We start from the raw sequence: 20,883 nt of genomic DNA on the forward strand, positions 1-20,883 counted from the left end.
CTTGTCCCTTCTCCACATCTTGTTCCTCTCTAGATTTCACCTGACTTGAGGTCTCATTCAAGTACTCTTGAAGATTTTAACTGTTTTGTCCTCTTCTGATTATTTATAACTTCCTTTTTTTCTTTTTGAAAATGTTACTGGGAGCAGAATAATTGAAGTTCTGTGAAGCCACTGGAAACTCACTGCTCCCTCTCCTGCCAGTTTCAATAAAAAGCTTTTTTTTTTTTTTTGAGGACCTATATCTTTGGGATATACATGTTTAAGCAAAATTAACCTGGCAGGGGAGATACATTGAGAAGGGTTGATTGAAGCAGTAAGAGATTGGAAGGGGGAAAGACAAACTCAGAGGCTCTGGCCACCATGCATGGAGGAAATGAGGAAGATTACTGCTGTAAAATTCAGTGAAAAAAATCCATGTGCTACTAGGAAAAGCATGGACTTCAAAATCAGAAAAATTGGAGTTGAATCCCAGCCCAACAACTCATAAACTCTGTGACTTCAAGCAAGGTACCCAACTTCCTTAAACCTCATTTTCTCAACTTATAAAATGGATGTGAAATCAGCATACATAATTGTTATAAAGACTAAATTATAAAGGTTTTTAAATGCTTAGTGTTTTGATCAGTTTAAATTGCTACAACAGAACACCATAGACTGTGTTAAACAACAAACATTATTTTTCACACTTCTAAAGGCAAGGGAGTCTAAGATAAAGACATCAAGAGATTTGGTGTTAGATGAGGGCCCACTACTTGGTTTATAGATGGCCATCTTCTCACTGTATCTTCACCTAACAGAAAAAGAGCAAGAGAGCAATCTGCAGTCCCTTTCATACAGGCACTAATCTCATTCATGAGGGCTCCACCCTCATTACATAATTATCTCCCAAAGGCTTCTCCTAATACTATCACGTTGGAGGTTAGAATTTCAACTTACGAATTTTATGGGAGGAAAAAAAATGTTCAGTTTATAACACCTAGTATATAATAGATGTTCAATGTTAATATATGATTTTAAATGGACATATTTGAGAGATATTATAAAGGAAGAAACAAATGAATAATGGACTGAATATAGGAAACCAGGGAGAAAGATACTCAAAGACGGGGAGGTAACTAGGTTATTGACACACATGTTGTAGTTGGGAAAGAGAGTCAATTTGGAGTAAAAGCTAATGAATTTAACATTGAACACATTGAGCTTGAAGCAATGGCAGGATATCTGAGTAAATGTGTGCAGAATGTAGTTGGAAATACAGTACTGGAACACATGTGAGAGGTTACAGGGGGGCTATGTATTGGGGTTAGAGATACGAATTTTAAAATCATGGACTGAGAAATAATATTTGAATCTATGAGAACAGACAAACTTGCTAGAGGCAAATAGCAGAACCTTGGAGAACATCCACAATTTAGAGAAAAGCAAAAGAAGTTAGAAGATCAATTTTTAAAAACTTAGGAGGAGATCTAGGTAAGCCTTCATCCATGGAAACCAATGGGAAATTCTCAATGAATGGATAACTGATACTATTACATTGTCAATACATTGGAAAGACCATGGATGCCCATCAAGGGGGATTTGCTCAGCAAATTATAGCACATCCACATAAAGGAAAACTATGCAACATTTAGAGAATGGTAGATCTATATTTATAGACATGGAAAATATTTTAAAACAAATGGATTAAAAAACCATAGGTTAAAGAACACCACGTGTAGAATGTAATCCTATAAAAATGAATACATAAATACATATGGAGTAGGTAGAGAAAGTCCTTAAGATTGTTTTCTGAGTTCTACTAACAATTACCTATGATGGCATCCAAGGCGAGTTTTACTTTTTCTTTGTACATTTCTACATTGCTTTTTTTTTTTTTTTTATGATAATCATGTATCACTTCAAAAACAAAGTATTTTTAGAAAAGAACGAATACTACTGAAGTTGGTATTGTGACTTTATATTCTTATATTATCTGTTGGTCCACACTGAATCCTTTCTGCCACTTGCAGGCCATTTACTCAGCCTCAGGGTGTTTTTCTGGAGGTTGTCTCACTGATTGGACCTACCTAGCTCTTTAGTTAGCATTAGCTGAAGTCACTGGTGTTGTCCTTTGAGGTGCTTTGTGGAGAAAAAGCGTTGTATGGTCAATAGGTTAGAGAACTGTGAATGTGATACCTCACTTTAAGAGATCACCAATCACACTTGCACATTCAAGTATCTGTGAAGGTGCTCCTGAAAATGAACTTGTCAACATTTAATCTAATACTTCTCCAAATTCTTTGAGCATGGAGGGAGCTATTTTCTTGTTTTATCAACTGCTAACATACCATGGAACTAGTATCTGCAAAGCAGATTATGAGAGACATGAGCTTAAATGGTGATCTAGTGCTTTGTTATGGATTTTTCAGCTTTTCTTGAGTGAAATTCAGTTTGACCAGCTAATACGTGCAGTTCCTAGACTCCCTTGGAATCTCTCCAAGAGACAGGTCAGTAACCTAATATTTCCCTTTGTTCTGTGGTAGGTCTCCATCAGGCTTATTTAATGACAGGTCGTACACTGTCAGCAAGTACTTTAGAGTTATAGTTTTGGATCTCTTCAAGATTCTAGTTGGAAAAAAAGGACAAAAATACAGAGAATCCCAAAGTTTGCTTCTTTGTGTAAATTTTTCATCTCCAGCTTTCCTCTTATCTGGAAGTTAGAAAATGTTAACAATATTCCAGTGGTAGAAAGTTAATCACATTTTGCAGCCAATGAGTTGTTTTAAGAAAATATCAAAGTAATGTATGTTTTCATTGAAGATAAATTGAGAAATAAATAGAAGAAATTTAAAAACATATTAATCACATCATACAGAAAAAAATCAGTTAATATTTTGATTTTTAAACCTCTAGACTCTATTTATGTTGATACACATATATAGAGTCTGAATCACCACTTAAGCTCAAATCTTCCATAATCTGCTCTGCAGATAATAGGTCCCAATTTTATTAGCAGTTGCTAAAACAAGAAAGAGTTCTATTCTCAAAGAATTTGGGGAAGTATTATTAATAGATTAAATATTGTCAAGTTTATTTTCAGTGTATGCATTTGTTTTTTTGTTATCATCTGAACAACAATGTAGTCACATTATACGTTTGTTATATAATCTGCTTTCCCTCACTAATTAATATATATATAAATAATATATTTCCTTGTCAAGAATATAGATTTACATTATAACTTTTATGGAATAAGTATTTAATTGAATTAATAAACTATACTTTCTTAAAGAGATTTTTAATGTTTTAAAAATTGATAATACACATATTTTCATGGTACATGTTTTAATTTAATACATTTATATAATTTGTCAAGATCAAATCAGTGTGTTTAGGATACTCATCACTTTAAATATTTGTCTTTTCTTTATGCTAGAAACATTCAAATTATTCTCTTCTAGTTATTTTGAAATATACAATAGGTTATTGTAAACCATAGTCATAGATCAGTTTGACACTGATCTATCAAACACTAGGTCTTATTTATTCTATGCAACTATATATTTGTGCCCGTCAATGAACCTCTCTTTATTCCCTCTTCCCTTCAATTTTTTCCAGCCTCTGGTAACCACCAATCTACTCTCTATCTTCATGAGATACACTTTTTTACTTCCCCCATATGACTGAGAACATGCAATATTTGTCTTTCTATGCTTGACTTATTTCACTTAACATAATAACCTCCAGTTCCATCCACGTTGCTGCAAATGACAGGATTTCATTCTTTTTTATGGCTGAATATTATACCACTGTGTATATATACCACATTCTCTTTATCTAGTCATCTGTTGATGGGCACTTAGGTTGATCATACTTTGGTTATTGTGAATAATGCTGCAATAAACATGGGAGTGCAGATATCCCTTTGATAAATTGATTTCCTTTCTTTTGGATATATACCCAGTAATGGAATTGCTGGATCACATGGTAATTCTATTTTTAGTTTTTTGAGGAACTTCCATACTGTTCACCATAGTGGCTATACTAATTTACATTCCTACCAACAGTGCACAAGGGTTCCCCTTTCTTCACATCCTCTCAGCATGTATTATTGTCTTTTTGATACAAACCATTTTGACTGAGGTGAGATAATATCTTAGTGTGGATTTGGTTTGCATTTCTCTGATGATTAGTGATGCTGAGCATTTTTAATATACATGTTGGCCATTTGTATGTCTTCTTTTGAGAAATATCTGTTCAGATCTTTTGCCCATGTTTCAATCCAATTTTTTTTGTTGCAATTGAGTTGTTTGAGCTCCTTATACATTCTGCTTATTATTCATTTGCCAGATGGATAGTTAGCAAGTATTTTTGCCCATTCTGTGGATAGTCTCCTCATACTATTGAAGACTTTTCCTGTACTCTGCAGAAGCTTTTTAGCTTGCTGTAATCTCATTTGTCTGTTTTTTCTTTTGTTGCTTGTGCTTTTGAGGTCTTACATAAAAATGCTTTACCCACACCAATGTTTTGGGGTGTTATCCCAGTGTTTTCTTTTAGTAGTTTCATAATTTCAGATCTTAGATTGACTGATTGATTTTTTTATTTTTTTGAGATGGAGTTTCACTCTTGTTGCCCAGGCTAGAGTGCAACGGCATGATCTCAACTCTCTGCAAACTCTGCCTCTTGGGTTCAAATGATTCTCCTGCCTCAGCCTCCCTAGTAGCTGGGATGCTTGACTGGCCTAGCCTCCCAGCCTACATCATTCTCCTGTGCGGGATGCTTCCTGCTTCAAGCATCGGACTCCAAGTTCTTCAGTTTTGAGACTCAGACTGGCTCTTCTTGCTCCTCAAGTTTGCAGACAGTCTGTTGTGGGACCTTGTGATCATGTAAGTTAGGTTTTGGGAAGTTTTCTGTTATTATTTCTTTGAATAAGATTTACACCTCTTGTTCTTGCTCAATTCCCTCTTGAACACTAATACATCTTAGATTTGGTCTTTTGAGATAATTTTCTATATCTTGTAGGTGATCTTTTTTCCTTTTTATGTTATTTTTTCTCTGACTGTGGATTTTCAAATAGCCTGTCATTAAGCTTATTGATTCTTTCCTCTGCTTGATCCATTCTGCTCTTGAGAGTCTCTAATAAATTTTTCAGTTCAGCAAATATATTTTTCAGTTCCAAAATTTCTGATTTTTTAAAATCATTTTAATCTCTTTGTTAAATTTCTCTCATAAATTTCTCAAATGCTTGTCTGTGTTATCTTGGAGATCACTGAGTTTCCTTAAAACCACTACTTTAAATTTTTGGTTAGAGAGCTCACATGTCACCATCTCCTTAGGGTCAGTCACTGGTTCCTCGCTTTTTCTGTATGGAAAGGTCATAGTTCCCTGTTTGCTGTTGTTTGTTGTGGATGTACATCTATGTCTTTGCATTGAAGGGTTTATTATTTATTTCAGTCTTCATTGTCTGGCTTTTTTTTTTTTTATTGGATATGTTTACTTAGAGATTCTTTCTAATTTACCTGTTGATTTTCTTTCTTTCTTCCTTTCCTTTCCTTTCTTTCCTTTCCTATTTCATTTCTGTATTAGTCCATTCTCATGCTGCTATGAAGAAATACCTAAGACTGGGTAATTTATAAAGAAAAGAGAACTCACAGGTCTGCATGGCTGGGGAGTCTTCAGAAAACTTACACTCATGGGAGAAGGAACCTCTTCACAGGGTAGCAGGAAAGAAAATGAGTGCCAGCAGGGGAAATGTCAGACACTTATAAAAACTTATAGACCTCTTGAGACTCACTCATTATCACAAGAACAGCATGGAGGAAACCACCCCCCATGATCAAATTACTTCCACCTGGTCCCACCCTTGACACATGGGGATTATTACAATTCAAGATGAGATTTGGGTGGGGACACAGAGCCAAACCATGTCTTTCTTCTTCTCTCTCTCTCTTTCTTTCTTTCATTCTTTTTTCTTTCCTTTCTTTCTTTTTTTTTCTTTCTTTCTCTCTCTCTCTCCTCTCTCTCTCTCTCTCTCTCTCTCTCCCTCTCTCCCTCTCTCTCTCTCTCTCTCTCTCTCTCTCTCTCTCCCCCTCTCTCTCTCTCTCTCTCTTCTAGGTTGCTACCTCCTTTTTGGCACTAGATAGGACCTTAAGCCCAGGTTTGCCTTGGTTTTACTAAACAATCAGAGTGCCACCTGTCCCAAATGGAGGCGGTCCCAAAGGGGATATCCTGATAGTGTGGAAAGGCTGGCTTAGAATTTGTACCTAAGACACCTGTGGAATGAACCTCCTACAGTGTGGTGCTGAGACACCCTGATTTAGCATCTCCTTCGGCTGAGTAACACAGCAGAGTTTTCAGGGCTGGTGATGGTAGTCCTGCCTCTCCTCTTTGTTTCTGGCTGTCCTTGGGGATATTTTTCTTTTCAGGCACTCCTAATGCTTTCTATGGGTTGAGGCAGGGACAGGTCTCCTGCCAAGAAAATCACTATGGGGTTGGGGGAAGCTGGTTGTCCACCTCAATCTCACTTTTTCAAGAGTAGAAATTCTGAGTTTGGAGAAAATTTTCCCTGTGCTTGGTGACAAGCAAAAGGAGGGGAGGGGCATTGTAGATATGGACGTCTAATTGTATCACCATCTGCTCAGAATTTTTCACCTCTCTATGGCCTCAAGAACTGGCTTATCCTCACATATGAGTAGTGGGACATTGCTGGTGATAATCAAAGCACTGTGTATTTGTCCTTGTTTTTCTGTGGGCCAGGGGGAGTAAAGCCAGCTTGCTTCTACCCTACCATTTTGGTTAAAGAAATTTTTGAAGGTAAATATCTAGGCTATTATTGTAAACAACACTAAAATAAATACCTTGGCCTCTGCCTCTGACCCTGCCCCTGCCCCTGCCCCTGCCTCTGCCTCTTTGCACGGTGTCCCTCTGATGCCGAGCCGAGGCTGGACTGTACTGCCGCCATCTCGACTGACTGCAACCTCCCTGCCTGATTCTCCTGCCTCAGCCTGCCGAGTGCCTGGGATTGCAGGCGCACGCCGCCACACCTGACTGCTTTTCATATTTTTTGGTGGAGACGGGGTTTCGCCGTGTTGGCCGGGCTGGTCTCCAGCTCCTGACTGCAAGTGATCTGCCAGCCTCGGCCTCCCGAAGTGCCGGGATTGCAGACGGAGTCTCGCTCACTCAGTGCTCAATGTTGCCCAGGCTGGAGTGCAGTGGCATGATCTTGGCTCACTACAACCTCCACCTCCCAGCCGCCTGCCTTGGCCTCCCAAAGTGCCGAGATTGCAGCCTCTGACCGGCCGCCACCCCGTCTAGGAAGTGAGGGGCGTCTCTGCCTGGCCGCCCATCGTCTGGGATGTAGGGAGAGCCTCTGCCCCGCTGCCCCGTCTGAGATGTGAAGAGCACCTCTGCCTGGCCGCGATCCCGTCTGGGAACTGAGGAGTGTCTCTGCCCCGCCGCCACCCCATCTGGGAGGTGAGGAGCATCTCTAACTGGCCGCCCCGTCTGGGAAGTGAGGAGCGTCTCCGCCGGGCAGCCTCCCTGTCCGGGAGGTGGGGGGCGCCTCTGCCCAGCCGCCACCCCATCTGGGAGGTGTACCCAACAGCTATTGAGAACGGGCCATGATAACGATGGCGGTTTTGTCGAATAGAAAAGGGGGAAATGTGGGGAAAAGAAAGAGAGATCAGATTGTTACTGTCTCTGTAGAAAGAAGTAGACATAGGAGACTCCATTTTGTTCTGTACTAAGAAAAATTCTTCTGCCTTGGGATGCTGTTAGTCTATAACCTTACCCCCAACCCCGTACTCTCTGAAACATGTGCTGTGTCCACTAAGGGTTAAATGGATTAAGGGCGGTGCAAGATGTGCTTTGTTAAACAGATGCTTGAAGGCAGCATACTTGTTAAGAGTCATCACCACTCCCTAATCTCAAGTACCCAGGGACACAAACACGGCGGAAGGCGGCAGGGCCCTCTGCCTAGGAAAACCAGAGACCTTTGTTCACATGTTTATCTGCTGACCTTCCCTCCACTATTGTCCTATGACCCTGCCAAATCCCCGTCTCCAAGAAACACCCAAGAATGATCAAAAAATACTAAAAAAATTTAAAAATAAAATAAATAAATAAATAAATAAATAAATATCTTGAAACTAACTTTGTGTGTGTGTCAACAATTTTTAAAGTTAGGCTTAGGCTTAAATATGCTTATAAAATTTACAGTTCCATACATCCTCCATATTTACAAACACCCTTTCTTTTCTCTGAGGAAGCACGGAGAAGAGAGAAGCAATAGTCTATCTTCACACATGTGATCAGCAAGAAAAGAGATGGGTCTTTTTCCTTTATTTGAGCTTTGTCTTTCCCATGTATATTTACATTATCTCAAAGCCAGTATCCTTGGGGGAAATTATACGTAATTGCTAAAATGTTGACATCAAAACTTTGCAGTTTGCTTTCAAAATGATGCTCATGTTCTCATTCACTAAGTGATTAAAGTTAACATCATCAGTAATGAGAGAAATTGAAATCATGCATTACCTGACTGGGTGCACTGAGAACACAGCATCATTCCTGTGATATTCTTGCCCAAAACATGCAACCTATATCTAACCATGAAGAAACATCAGACATGCCCACTGAGATATTCTACAAGGCCAGAGGGTTAAGTGACTTTCCAAATTTCACAGGACTTGTTGATGGCAGAACTGGAATAGGATTCAGTTATTCTGACTCCTGGACCTGAGATTCGATCCTATCCCATCCCATCTTATCCCATCTCCTTCTGTCCTCTTCAATCCTCTTCTATCCCCTTCCATTCCCCTTCCCACTTCTATTTCCATTCCAGTCCATTCTATTCCCATTCCATTTCACTCAAATTCCATTCCATTCCACAAATAATAATTGAGGCTTTATTTATGTGTTAGGCACTGTTCTAGACACTGGAGATTAATCCCCAGTGGAGTGTAAGACAAACAAAACCCTTGCCCTTATGAAACTCTTAATCCAGTGAAAGTAAGCAGAATGGTGGCTGCTCCTTGTCTGACATTCTTTGTGTGTGTGTATGTATATTATATAATATACATACACACACATATATACACATGTATATATATATATGTGTGTGTATACATATATATAGAAGGAATTCTCTTTCTTTTATCCCTTATTCCAATCCTGTTATTATTAAGGATTATATTTAACTTTACATGTTCAAATTAGTATAGTTCCTGTCTCCTGACTGAACGCTGATGCAGGGAAACTCTGGTCTCTGACTTTGATTTTTTTTTAATAGTAATGTTTGGTACAATCAACTGACTTAAAACTTTAAAAAACTGAATTTCTACGGGTAAATGTTTAAATATGAGAAAAAAGTTGACTTTAGAATGTCTAATAAGCCTATCCTATTCAACAACCAAGAAATAGATTTCATACCTATTACACATAAAGATATAAAGGCATATTTTGGACTTTAAAGAGCTTGCAGGACAGGAAAGGCAAAAACATTTTATCCTGAATGCCAACTATCTGGGTTAATGACTATCTGGGTTGATACGCATCTCAAGGCCAGAAAGGAATGATCAATTTGTGACATCAGACAGGTAAAAGACGGAGTGCTGGAAAAGCATGTCAGCTGTTACCTAGTCAGTTTCATAGATTTAGTAAACTGAAGCACAGAAATTTAAATGACTTGCCCAAAGCAAAGTTGTGTAATGTAAAGGCTGGTGCTAGACCCATATATGTGATTTCCAGTGCATTGTTCTTTACTTGTTGCTGCTCTAGATGATGATGGTGTTTTGAGGTCAGGTCGGAAGTACAAACAATTTAAGATGAGGCTTGTTTACCTTACCTATAGGGGTCCAGATGTGTTTTTCTGGGAAATCAGATTTATTGCCCACCATAGTCACAAACAGACTGGAAATAAGATAGATTTACAGAATTTTCTGCCTAACTCTAGAAATAGGATGGCAGAAGAGTCATTACATTAAGAAAGCCCAATGCTGCCATTTACTTTAAGACATATAAATTTGGATTTCAAACAAAACAGCTTACAAAAGGGTGTTTGGCATCAAAAGGGAATAGCACAGGAATTATACCTAAGTCCATTACATATAACACTGAACTATACAAGTAAATGTGTTTGACAATAACAATGCTTATTTGATTGTTGGGGAAGGTGACAGCTAGTAATACGTTGGACTTGAATTATATTTTTTCCTGGAAAATGGTATCTAGAGTAAATTTTTCGCACCTACTTGCCCAAACTTTCTTATCAGATGCTGAGTTGAAAAGAACATACCTAGATTCTACGGAAATTAGAAATCTAGCCTTTTTAAGAATATAACTTTGGAAATACTGGTGAATGGTAGATCTCCCATCCTCATGCTTGGAGGGCTATTATCTACCACAGGGCCACACAACAGTGCCCTCTTAAGCCCCTTAATTTCACCTAGTCTAGCCAAAGGCAACACAAGTTCAAACTTTCCGGCTAGACTTCAGAATAAGAAAATTTTTGAAGTGCATTTCTCACTTAAGGACATAGCATATTTAAAAAATAAGAGCAAAAGGGGAAATTCTTGTCTTTTTAAATCAAACATTATTTGTTGCCAGAAGTGTAATGACTTTTTGTTGGTATTTGTTAAGTACAGCCAGTTTTGATAATGTGCTCTCTTTTACTTTAGGAATTGCCTGTCCGTACTTTCCTTTAAAAGTTTTACCTGTACATCATCCTAGTAAGTATATGGCAAGGGCAGGGAAGTGACCCTGGATGTTTATTTCTGAAGAAACAAAAAAGATGACTAGTAGAGGATACAAGAGAAGCTGGAAGCTACTGATTTATCAATAGAATAAAAAATCCACAACACAAAAACAGATTAGAGTCTTCTTTGTTCAACTCACTCCTAAATACAAACCACTGGCTGCAAAATGGGTCTGGCCAAAAAAAATCTCCTATTCAGAATCCTGCTACTCATTTTACCTTAGAAATAATTATACATTTCTTTAACATTTAGAGTAAAAACAATCTTAATAAAAAGAGCAAATAACAGAATCTAATCAAGGTGTCTTCTGTCCTTAACTGTTTGTTCTACTAAAAAAGAATTTTTCATTAATAATCCTAATCATAACTCTGCAGTGTTCAAAGACCAAAGGGGTTAGGTACTTAGTTCAGTAAACAAAAGTCGTGGAACAAGCACCCAATGCCCCTGAATATTAACTTCACTATAACTATAATTCCTAGAAATAAATTTCAATTCTTTCCCATTCTGTATACTAACTGATTCTTACCACCAGTCAAAACAGAAAATTATTCTGGCTCTAATATTCAGTTCCATTTTGTCTGACTAGCAAAGTCACAATTAGTCAATGACTACCAGATACACTCTACTGTGTTTTGCAGATGTAAAACTTAGAAATTAGTGTTATAATTCTTATAGGAAAACCTAAATCAGTAAACTTAATTGTAGTTTAATTCAAAGTTTTTAATCCAATATTGCATTCAAAAAGAATCTGTTAATACATGTTGCTCTGCTTGTTACATGGCCACCAAGTGACTATAAGAGAAAACACACAGAAAAAAAAATTTTAAATGCAGTATCTGCCATCTTGTGGTACAGTGAGGAAATGCAGCAATTGAGAAGCTTCTAAATGCTGTAATCCTAAACATTTCTCCGCATTGCTCATGTAAATAGCCAATAATAACAATATGATAGTTCTATTTTTTCTGTAATCTACTTAATGCCATTTTTCTTGAGATTATCCTTGAGTAAATTACAGAGGCATCAAGATCCCCCCAAAGTTGTCAAATATTATTCGTATCCTTGCTAAAATCAGGTCTCCAAAAGATTGCTTCTCTATCCACTATGACCTAGTAGTCTTCACACTAGTAGGCATCAAACTGCAATAAAAGGCTCAGATACAACCCATCTGGCATCTAAAGGAACACTCAAAAATTTAACACTTCCCCTGGCACCACTCTCACCCATCTATCTACCTTTACCTCATAACAATAGCAAGCCAGGCGCGGTGGCTCATGCTTGTAATCCCAGCACTTTGGGAGGCCCAGGCGGGTGGATCATTTGAGGTAAGGAGTTCAAGACCAGCCTGGACAATATGGTGAGAACCCGTCTCTACTAAATATACAAAAATTAGCCAGGTGTGGTGGTGCACACCTGTACTCCCAGCTGCTTGGGAGGCTGAAGCATGAGAATCACCTGAACCTAGGAAGCAGAGGATGCAGTGAGCCAAGATCATGCCACTGCACTCCAACCTGGGCAACAGAGTGAGACTCTTTCAAAAAAAAAAGAAAAAAAAATAGCAGCTAACCCTTACTGAGCATTAACTATGTTATTAACTCAATCCTCACAACAAACCTATTAAGTAGGGACTATTATTTTCCTCATTTTAAATGATGAAGCAACTGAGGCACAGAGGTTAGTAATTTTCCTAAGATTATGGTGGAGATCCTAAGCTATTGAAATGATTACTACTTGTTTTCAAAAGCCCTTATCATTTATATCACAATATGAATAACAAATATTATGAATCGCAGTTATCAAAAAAACTTCAGCAGTATTACTACATCAAAACCATAAAAAACAGAAGATGTAGGTGACTAACTTCAATGTAAGAACTTCAAATAATTGCCCATTGACAGAATGCTAGCAGCTCTGGTAGAAGGGCAAAGCTTAGATATGATGTAACTAGCTTAGAGTACCAATGCTGACTTAGAACAGCATTCACCCATGCCATAGAGAACTGAGACAATGTGGCACCTTCATTAAATGAATTAAAGAGCTTTACTTGAGTTAATATCTTAGTTTACCAAACCTGACCTGAGTTTCCTCAAACACTTGACAATAGTTGCTTTCTAAGTCTGTAACATGATAGGTTTAGGCCGGGTACGGTGGCTCATGCCTGAGTCAGGAGAATCGCTTGAGCCTAGGAGTTTGTGACCAGCCTGGGCAACACAGGGAGACACCATCTCTCCAAAATAAAAATGTAAAAATCAGCTAGGTGTGATGGTGCACACTTGTAGTCCCAGCTACTTGGGAGGCTGAGGTGGGAGAATACCCTAAGCCTAGAAGTTCTAAGATGTAGTGAGATATGATCAGGCTACCACACTCCATCCTGGGTGACCGAGATCCTTTCTCTAAAAAAAAGAGATAAACAGCCAGGTGCGGCAGCTCACACCTGTAATCCCAGCACTTTGGAAGGCCAAGGTGGGTGGATCATGAGGTCAGGAGTTCGAGGCCAGCCTGGCCAACATAGTGAAACCCCGTCTCTACTAAAAATGCGAACAATTAGCTGGGCGTGGTGACAGGCGCCTGTAATCCCAGCTACTCAGGAGGCTGAGGCAGGAGAATGGCTTCAACCTGGGAGGCGGAGGTTGCAGTGAGCCGAGATTGCGCCATTGCACACCAGCCTGGGCAACAGCGAGACTCCGTCTCAAAAAAAGAAAAAATAAATAAACATAATAGGTTTAAAAAACTAAGTTAAAAAATAAGTCTCTCTATAGCTTTTTATTTACTGAGGTTAAAGATCTTTTCATATTTACAAACTATTTATATGTATTTGTTTCCCAGTTCACATCCTTATACATTTTGTTCCTCTACTATCTTTAGATATGAGCCTTTTGACCTGGATGAGTTACAAATCTGCCTCCCACTCTGTCTTTTGTCATTTTTCTTGACTTGTCTTCTAAGTTTTTGTTGGTCCACTGAACTAATTTTTTTTTTGTTATCAAATATATCTTTTATAGTTGAGTTTGGTGTCACACTTAGGCCTTCTTCAATCCATTTGCTTTAAGAGTTTAGGTTTTTGGTAGTTTTATCTTTTCCTATTTAAATCTTCTAGTGGAGGGCAGAAAACTGGGTTTTCCATTTGGTTACCAGTTGTTGTCCCAATTCCACTTACAAAATAATGTCTTTCCTTGCCAATTTCAAATATCATTTTTATCCTATATGAATTTTTTAAAGTATTAGGGTATTCTGACATCTTACTATGTTACATTGACCTTACTAGACACAAGAACCATAGCTTCTTTACATATTATTTCTAAAAATTTTGTTATTACAAATGGGGGTCTTTGTTCTTCCAACAGACTTGGTCACTAAGTGTTACTGATTTCTGTTTATTAATGCTGTACCAAATCACCTTGCTGAAATTGCTTTAGATAGTTCTCTTGAGGTTTTAGTTGTATATAACCAACTACTTAGAAAAACAAAACCTCTTAAATACACCCAAGGAGATCCAGTATAGTATTGAAGTGTACAATTTCAGTATGTTCACACAATGGAACATAATACATAGCAGTCAAAATGAACTATACTTAACATGTGTCAACAGGGGTAGATCAGAATATTAAATGAAAAAAAGCAAAGGGCCTTTGTCTCCTGGCACCCGGATACTGAGCTCAGTTTCCGTCTTCACTGTTCCATCTCCTCCATCCACTACTCCAGGATCTCATAGGTGACTCTACCACAGCCCCTGTTGTCCTGTGAGCTGCAGGCACTGGGAAATCCACAGGGAGGATGCCAGAACATCTGGAGCCTGCGAAATGGTATTTTCTTATTTAAAACAGGATCATCATGGTAGACGGGAGGCATGGTGGGAGGGGGGCGAGGGATAAAAGATTACAAATAGGGTGCAGTGTACACTGCTTGGGTGATGGGTCCACCAAAATCCCACAAATCACCACTAAAGAACTTAATCATGTAACCAAACACCACCTGTTCCCCAATAAGCTATGGAAAAATAAAAATAAAAAAAGCAAAGTTACAGAATTGTCCAAATACATACCATCTATGTTTCACAAACACTAAATACATTTCATTATCCCCCTAACGAAGGGACTAAGTTTCTTAGTTCCTAATGTCATAAAGGTTTACAGATTGATAACAAATATGTAGCAAAAGTACAAAAACATGGGTAAAATATTCACAAAAACATGGATAAAATAATCACAATGGTGATTACTTCTTAAGGCTGGGAGGGAGGGAGGATTACAAACGACAAAGTACACAAAGAGAGCTTCAATTTCGGTGTATTTTAAGAAAAAAACACCGAAGCAAATATAGCAAAAGTAAAATATTTGTTAAGTCGGGGTGGGTGCACAGCTGTTCATTACAAAAGTCTAGGTGCTATTGTGAATGTCTGAAACATTTAAGAGGCTTGTAGAGAAATATTTTTTCTTTTAATATTTTACTGCACTGAAGAGAAATACTTTTGACTGAATTATCTTCTGGCATTCTGTAATTTTTAATCTCAAAAGAATCAATGTGGGCCTGACAAAAAGGGAGATTTCACTGATTTTGGCAAGTTCCTAAAATGTTTTGTCTTCTTTGCACATCTTAGTAGCAGGAGTTACCCCCATTTGTCTGCTTCCTGCTACTAGAATGTAAGCTCTGAGTGTAAGCTCTGAGTGAAAGCATTTTTCCATTATATTCAGTTACACTCCTACAGTCTTAAAATGGGCAGACACACAATAAGTAGTTGCTGAATGATAAATCAGTTGTGTTTATTTCCTTGAGTTAGAAACCTGGATGTCACGTAAATAATAATGGAACCTGGATGCCATGTAAATGCAGTAAAAGAAACAGGTTTTGTCTGCAGGTTCCATTTTAAACCAGCAATATACTATAGGCAAGTCTGGTCAATACAAGTTCTGGTCAGTTTCTTCTTTCAATTCAGAATTTCCATTTCAATTTTGAGAATCTTTGGGTCAACTCAAAGAACTCCTACATCTCAATTGCAGAGTCTGTATTATTTCATAAATTGTAATGGGATGTTAATCTTCACTGATACTAACTGGCTAAGCTATAGAGGGCAAGGTGGTAGAATTTCTATTGCAAAGATAAGTAATAATTACTATAAATACTCTTCCCAAAGAAACAGCAAATAGTTATCTTTCAAGCTGTAATCATTATCTTTCACCTAGAGTGTATTGTAAGTCTACAGAAATGATGTCATTAGCCACTGAAACAAGACTTCATATTGTAGTAATAAACAGACAAAAGATAATCCAAGTACAATTTTTTAATAAAGATAATTACAAAAGATGGAAAAATCAGCTCAGAAAGGCCAATTACTTCTTTAATAGATCAGTTTTTTTGACATAATAACTCACATCAATTTTAAATACTATCACATAAAGCATGGTGGAGAAAAGAAATTTTGCTTCATAATTAGAAAAACTCACAATAAAACTTGCCAAGAAAAACAAAAACGAAAAAGCCATTTGAAAATAAATACAGTCCATGCCAAAGTAGTATAAAATGAAGCCAGAAGTCTTCAAAAAGAAAACATTTTCCTTTCAATATTTTCTTTTTAATGATTTTCTGAAATTGGTGAGACTGTCAAATTCAGGGGTTGCTGAGCTGTTCTGATTTGGTTCTGTTAAAAGAGGCAATGTGAAATATTAAAAATGGCACAATCTTGGTTTAAATGCACTGACCTATTATATTGATCAGGTCCTGTAGGCTCATGCTAAGAAACACATTAATTGATAATGTCTTAAGTGTTTCTGGAGTAATTAATGCCTTAATTTTTCTAGTGATTTAATAAACTATTCCAAGTTATCCTGTAAAGGCTGGCACAAAATTATGTGTGCCCAAACATTTACATGCTTTCTGACACTAAAATCCTCAACTGTTTTTACTTAAAATTGTTTCTTAAATTTACCTATCTCACAACACTAAAAAAATCATGTACACAGAAATAAGAACACCATGAAAACCATTAAGTGCATATATAAAAGATAACAGCAAAAAAGGGTCTCAGATAAACTACGTACAAGAATACAAACTGACTGATATAGTTATACTGATAAACCAATAGGTAAGATGGCATATGTTGTCTTATGTACCAATACAAACTAAAATTCAGAGCACCTCATAATGATGTTCTAAGGTTCAGTCTAGTATTTCTGAAGTGTGTACACAAACACACACCAATAAACATGTTTAGTATTTTTATAGTATGTAAAAAGTACTTGATAAGGAACATCATTTACCCTTTGGTATCTGTTTTTTCACCACTGTTGTCCTTGGATTTATCTTCTTCCTTAACGTCTAAAAATAAAGATTGGGAAAAGATTAAAACCTATTTTGAAATATAAAATGTATATATATTATTTCAAAATATACTTTATTTTTAAAATATAAAAAGTTATGCAATCTTATTATTAATGAATTCGGTCTAAATAAGCTTTGTGTTGGGTGTTTCCTAAACGATGGCAGTACAAGCTATGAATAGTCACTGGATTGGGGTGCAGAGGGAGAAAAGGTGGCCCTAACTCTAGGTTTTGACCTATAGATTTAAAAAAAGCTTTCTGTGGTAGTATTTCATTTTTCAGTAGGCTGAAGAATTTTAACAACTGCAAGGCCCTATCGAAAGAGCCTCATCACCAAATAGAGAGTTTATTTTTTAAGCACAGAAAAGATAAAGCTTTTAAAAATGAGAACACCAAAAACAGACAGACAAGAAAACATAGTGAAAATGAAAGAAAAGAAAAAAAGTTAGGAAAATCCTACAGCTAAAGTTAAGTCGTCCTTAATTCAGTCATGGCTTGAATTTTTGGATGTCAATCAGTTACAAATATAGACTGAAGCCATCATTGTAATACATTGGGAAGTTAAAATTATAAATTTCTGTATGTAGCCTATTGAGGAGTGAATCCACAAGTAAAAGAACAGAACTAAATGTGTCAGATGTTATAGATTACTAACTCTCTAGTTTAAAAAAAAAAAAAAAAGCTGGCTTATTCACATAACTTCAATTTGATAGACATAGGAAAAATTGGATCATTATCTCTAAATCAGTTTTTCACATACTACAGGATCAAAATTAACAGGTTAACTAAAACGTGTGCTCATCACCATTACTTGCATTAGGAAATGCATCAAGTGCTGAGAATACAAATATTTAAGATACTGTGTTCCCTAGCCATGAGCAGCTCAGTCTAGTAGGGAGACAAAATCCTGTGAGGTGCTATAATATGATGTGTTAAATAAAATGGCAGAGGCATGTGTAAGTGTTCTGGGAAGTCAGATGAAAGGTAACAGATTCCGGTAGCAAATTCAATTGCCTAAAGCTAACACAGCGTTTTAAAGTAAGGCAATGTATCAAAGTATTTTTTCCTCCCTAACCCAGGTCCCAAATCCCCTCCTAGCTTTCCTCAGAGTTTTTAATGTTTTCTTCAATTTCTGAACAAAATCCATTATTTGACCTTTTTCAAAATGGCAAAACTGGTCTAAGGATATGTAACTCTTCTTTGTGTTTTCTCCCATTAAATAAGCTTTAGGTAGCTAAAAATTACCTTAGAAGTTCAGTTCTGACCATGCACTACCAATAGATTCATAATTACTTTGTCCTCTTTCTTAACCAATCTATATCACAATGCAATGTTCACTATTTTAAACCTATGTTATCAAGAAAATAAGGTTTCCTGTATTACTAAAGCAAATAGGAACAATAACATTTATATAAAAGCTTTAAGAGCTAAGTACCACTTATATGTAAGAAAAAAGAGTCACCTACCTAGCATACTTCCTCCTGATACCTGTGCAACTGACTTCTCGATAGCATAAACATTATAATGCAGCCCAATTTTTAAAATTTACAATTAAAACACAATTACCAAGAAACAAATCTGACCTGTTTTTTTGTCCTCTGTTTCTTTCTTATCTTCTTCAATTCTAGCTTTCTTTGCTCCTTTCTTATGATCAGCCACATTTCTTCGACCTCCTTCTCCTTCATCCTCAGAATCTGAGAATTCTTCATCACAAGCTATCCGCTTGTCTGATGCTCGAACTGCACAGAATATTTTAATAAATTTTGACAAAAACAGTCACAGGTTTTATAATCATTACAGCATACTCATACAAATGCACTAAGCAGTTAGTTACCACATTTAAACGTAAAGGGTAACATGCCTAATGATTTTAAAATTTGAATGGAATGAATGGTTTATTTAATATTGAAAACTTTGCTTTCATGTATGAAGAAATGGCTCAAAAACACATAATAAAAATTGGGGGAATCTCTTTTTCTTTAAAAATGCTGAAACTCTAAAGGAAAAAAGTGTGTTTTTCTAATAGGGGATGGGAATAATGTCATTACTTAAAAAGTAGCATTTTATTTCAGAGCTGAGAGGTGAAGTAGACCAAAAAAAAAGTACCAATACCAAATATGTTAGACAGTCTATACCATTACACATACTGTTATGCTACAATCTAACCATCACATTAAGTGTAATGAGAAGTTGTAAAATCAAACAGATGTTTAGTTATTTAGTTCACCCTACTTTAGATAAATGAGATGTCTTATTAATTTCCAAATATACTAAAGTTGCTAATTTTTGAAAACTTTCAATCATATATGTATATCCAGCCATACAAACTGAAACTGCTGACACCCAAATCAGGTTCTGAGACATCAGGAAGCTAAATCTCTGAAAGTGGCAAAAATGACAATATTAACAGTGTGCTCGTGAACATGACTTTATAGTGAAGTTCTTAGGCCACTAAAACCTTCCATTTCAATTATCATTTTGACAAATTGGAAAAATAAAGGCATTATCTTACTAGAAATTCTCTTGTCTGGATCTTCTCCATCTTCATCTCCACTGTCTTCATGAACAGCATCTTCTGGAATAGCTTGCATCTGGACACCAGGTGCATGAGGTAACATGCGCAAATTTTCAAACAAACGCTGTCTAAATTACACATGCAAAGTTTATTAGACAAAATTAAATTTCTTTGCAGTTCTTACATGCAAGAGAAAATATTTAGCAAAAAATTTCATCTTTGGTCTAGCTAAACCTATATATTAAAAGGTCTCTCTTTGTTGCCCAGACTAGAGTGCAGTGGCAAGATCATAGCTCACTGCAGCCTCAAACTCCTGGCAATCCTCCTGCCTCAGCCTCTGCGCGTTAGGACTACAAGTGTATGCCACCATGCCCGGCTAATTTTTAAATTTTTTGCAGACAAGGTCTCACTATATGGCCCAGGCTGGTCACAAACTACTGGTCTAAAGCTATCCTCCCACCTCGGACTTCCAAAGCATTAGGATTACAAGCATAAGCCACCTTGACTGGCCAAGGAGGCATTATTTTAGCCTGCCATTTCAATGATGAGAAAACATAAGCACAAAGGCAAGTGAACTTATCAAACATCATACAGCTTGTTTGTGGTACAGAGGTGACTCAAACCCATGCTATGTACTATAATGTCTCTACTTTGCTTGTGGAGACAAAGCCTTAACAAAATGTTCCAGACAATGAAAATAACTTATAGTGCACCTTGCAATTTTAAAATACATTTCAACTAATAAAAAAAATTATTTCCATTAACTGAAGAAATTAAATGGCTGAATACGGTGGCTCATGCCTGTAAGCTCAGCACTTCTGAGAGGCAGAGGTGACAGGATCACTTGAAGCCAGGAGTTCGAGACCAGCCTGGGCAACCAAGCAATATCCCATCCTGACAAAAAAATTAAAAATTAAAAAAAAAAAAAAAGAATAATCAGTAACTTAATGTTTCAAATCCTTTAGAAAAAAACAAAATATCTAATAAAGTTAAAAAGACCCATCATACTTGGCCCTTTAAAGCATACTAAATCTTTGTCAAGATAAAATGTTTATCAAAACAATTCAATGATTTCTTACTTTATCTTTTCCATATATTCTGGAGTGTTCTGGTTTGTCATGTTTGAAGGACTAATATGCAGTTTGAAGTCTGGTCCAAAATACTCAAAGTAATCATTATATGGCAACTCTAATGAAAACAATAAAATAAAGTTACATATTACAAGCTCAGTTTTCACAAAAAACCATGCACAGAATCCAGATTTAGGTGGTGAAATATTTCCTAAGAAAATGTTTAAAAGTGAACACAAAGTGAATGTTCTCCT

The 20,883-nt window shown here is 36.8% G+C and overlaps 1 protein-coding gene across 4 annotated transcripts in view; it reads right to left on the reverse strand.

Annotated features, from left to right (window-relative positions):
• Positions 1-8,304: 8,304 nt before the first annotated feature.
• Positions 8,305-20,883, reverse strand: part of HDAC2 (histone deacetylase 2) — a 38,121-nt gene continuing 25,542 nt past the window's right edge. For all 4 annotated transcript variants that reach the window (NR_033441.2, NR_073443.2, NM_001527.4 and 1 more), the window contains 5 exons: positions 20,639-20,747; positions 19,557-19,687; positions 18,628-18,783; positions 16,985-17,042; positions 8,305-16,365 (listed from right to left, as the gene is read on the reverse strand). Coding sequence is in view for 2 of the 4 variants with exons in the window: in NM_001527.4 (NP_001518.3) it covers positions 16,335-16,365; positions 16,985-17,042; positions 18,628-18,783; positions 19,557-19,687; positions 20,639-20,747 (485 nt within the window). In the remaining 2 variants the exon portion in view is untranslated. The remainder of the gene's footprint in view (positions 16,366-16,984; positions 17,043-18,627; positions 18,784-19,556; positions 19,688-20,638; positions 20,748-20,883) is intronic.

Source organism: Homo sapiens, chromosome 6, assembly GCF_000001405.40.
Source record: "Homo sapiens chromosome 6, GRCh38.p14 Primary Assembly".
Lineage (NCBI taxonomy): Eukaryota > Metazoa > Chordata > Mammalia > Primates > Hominidae > Homo > Homo sapiens.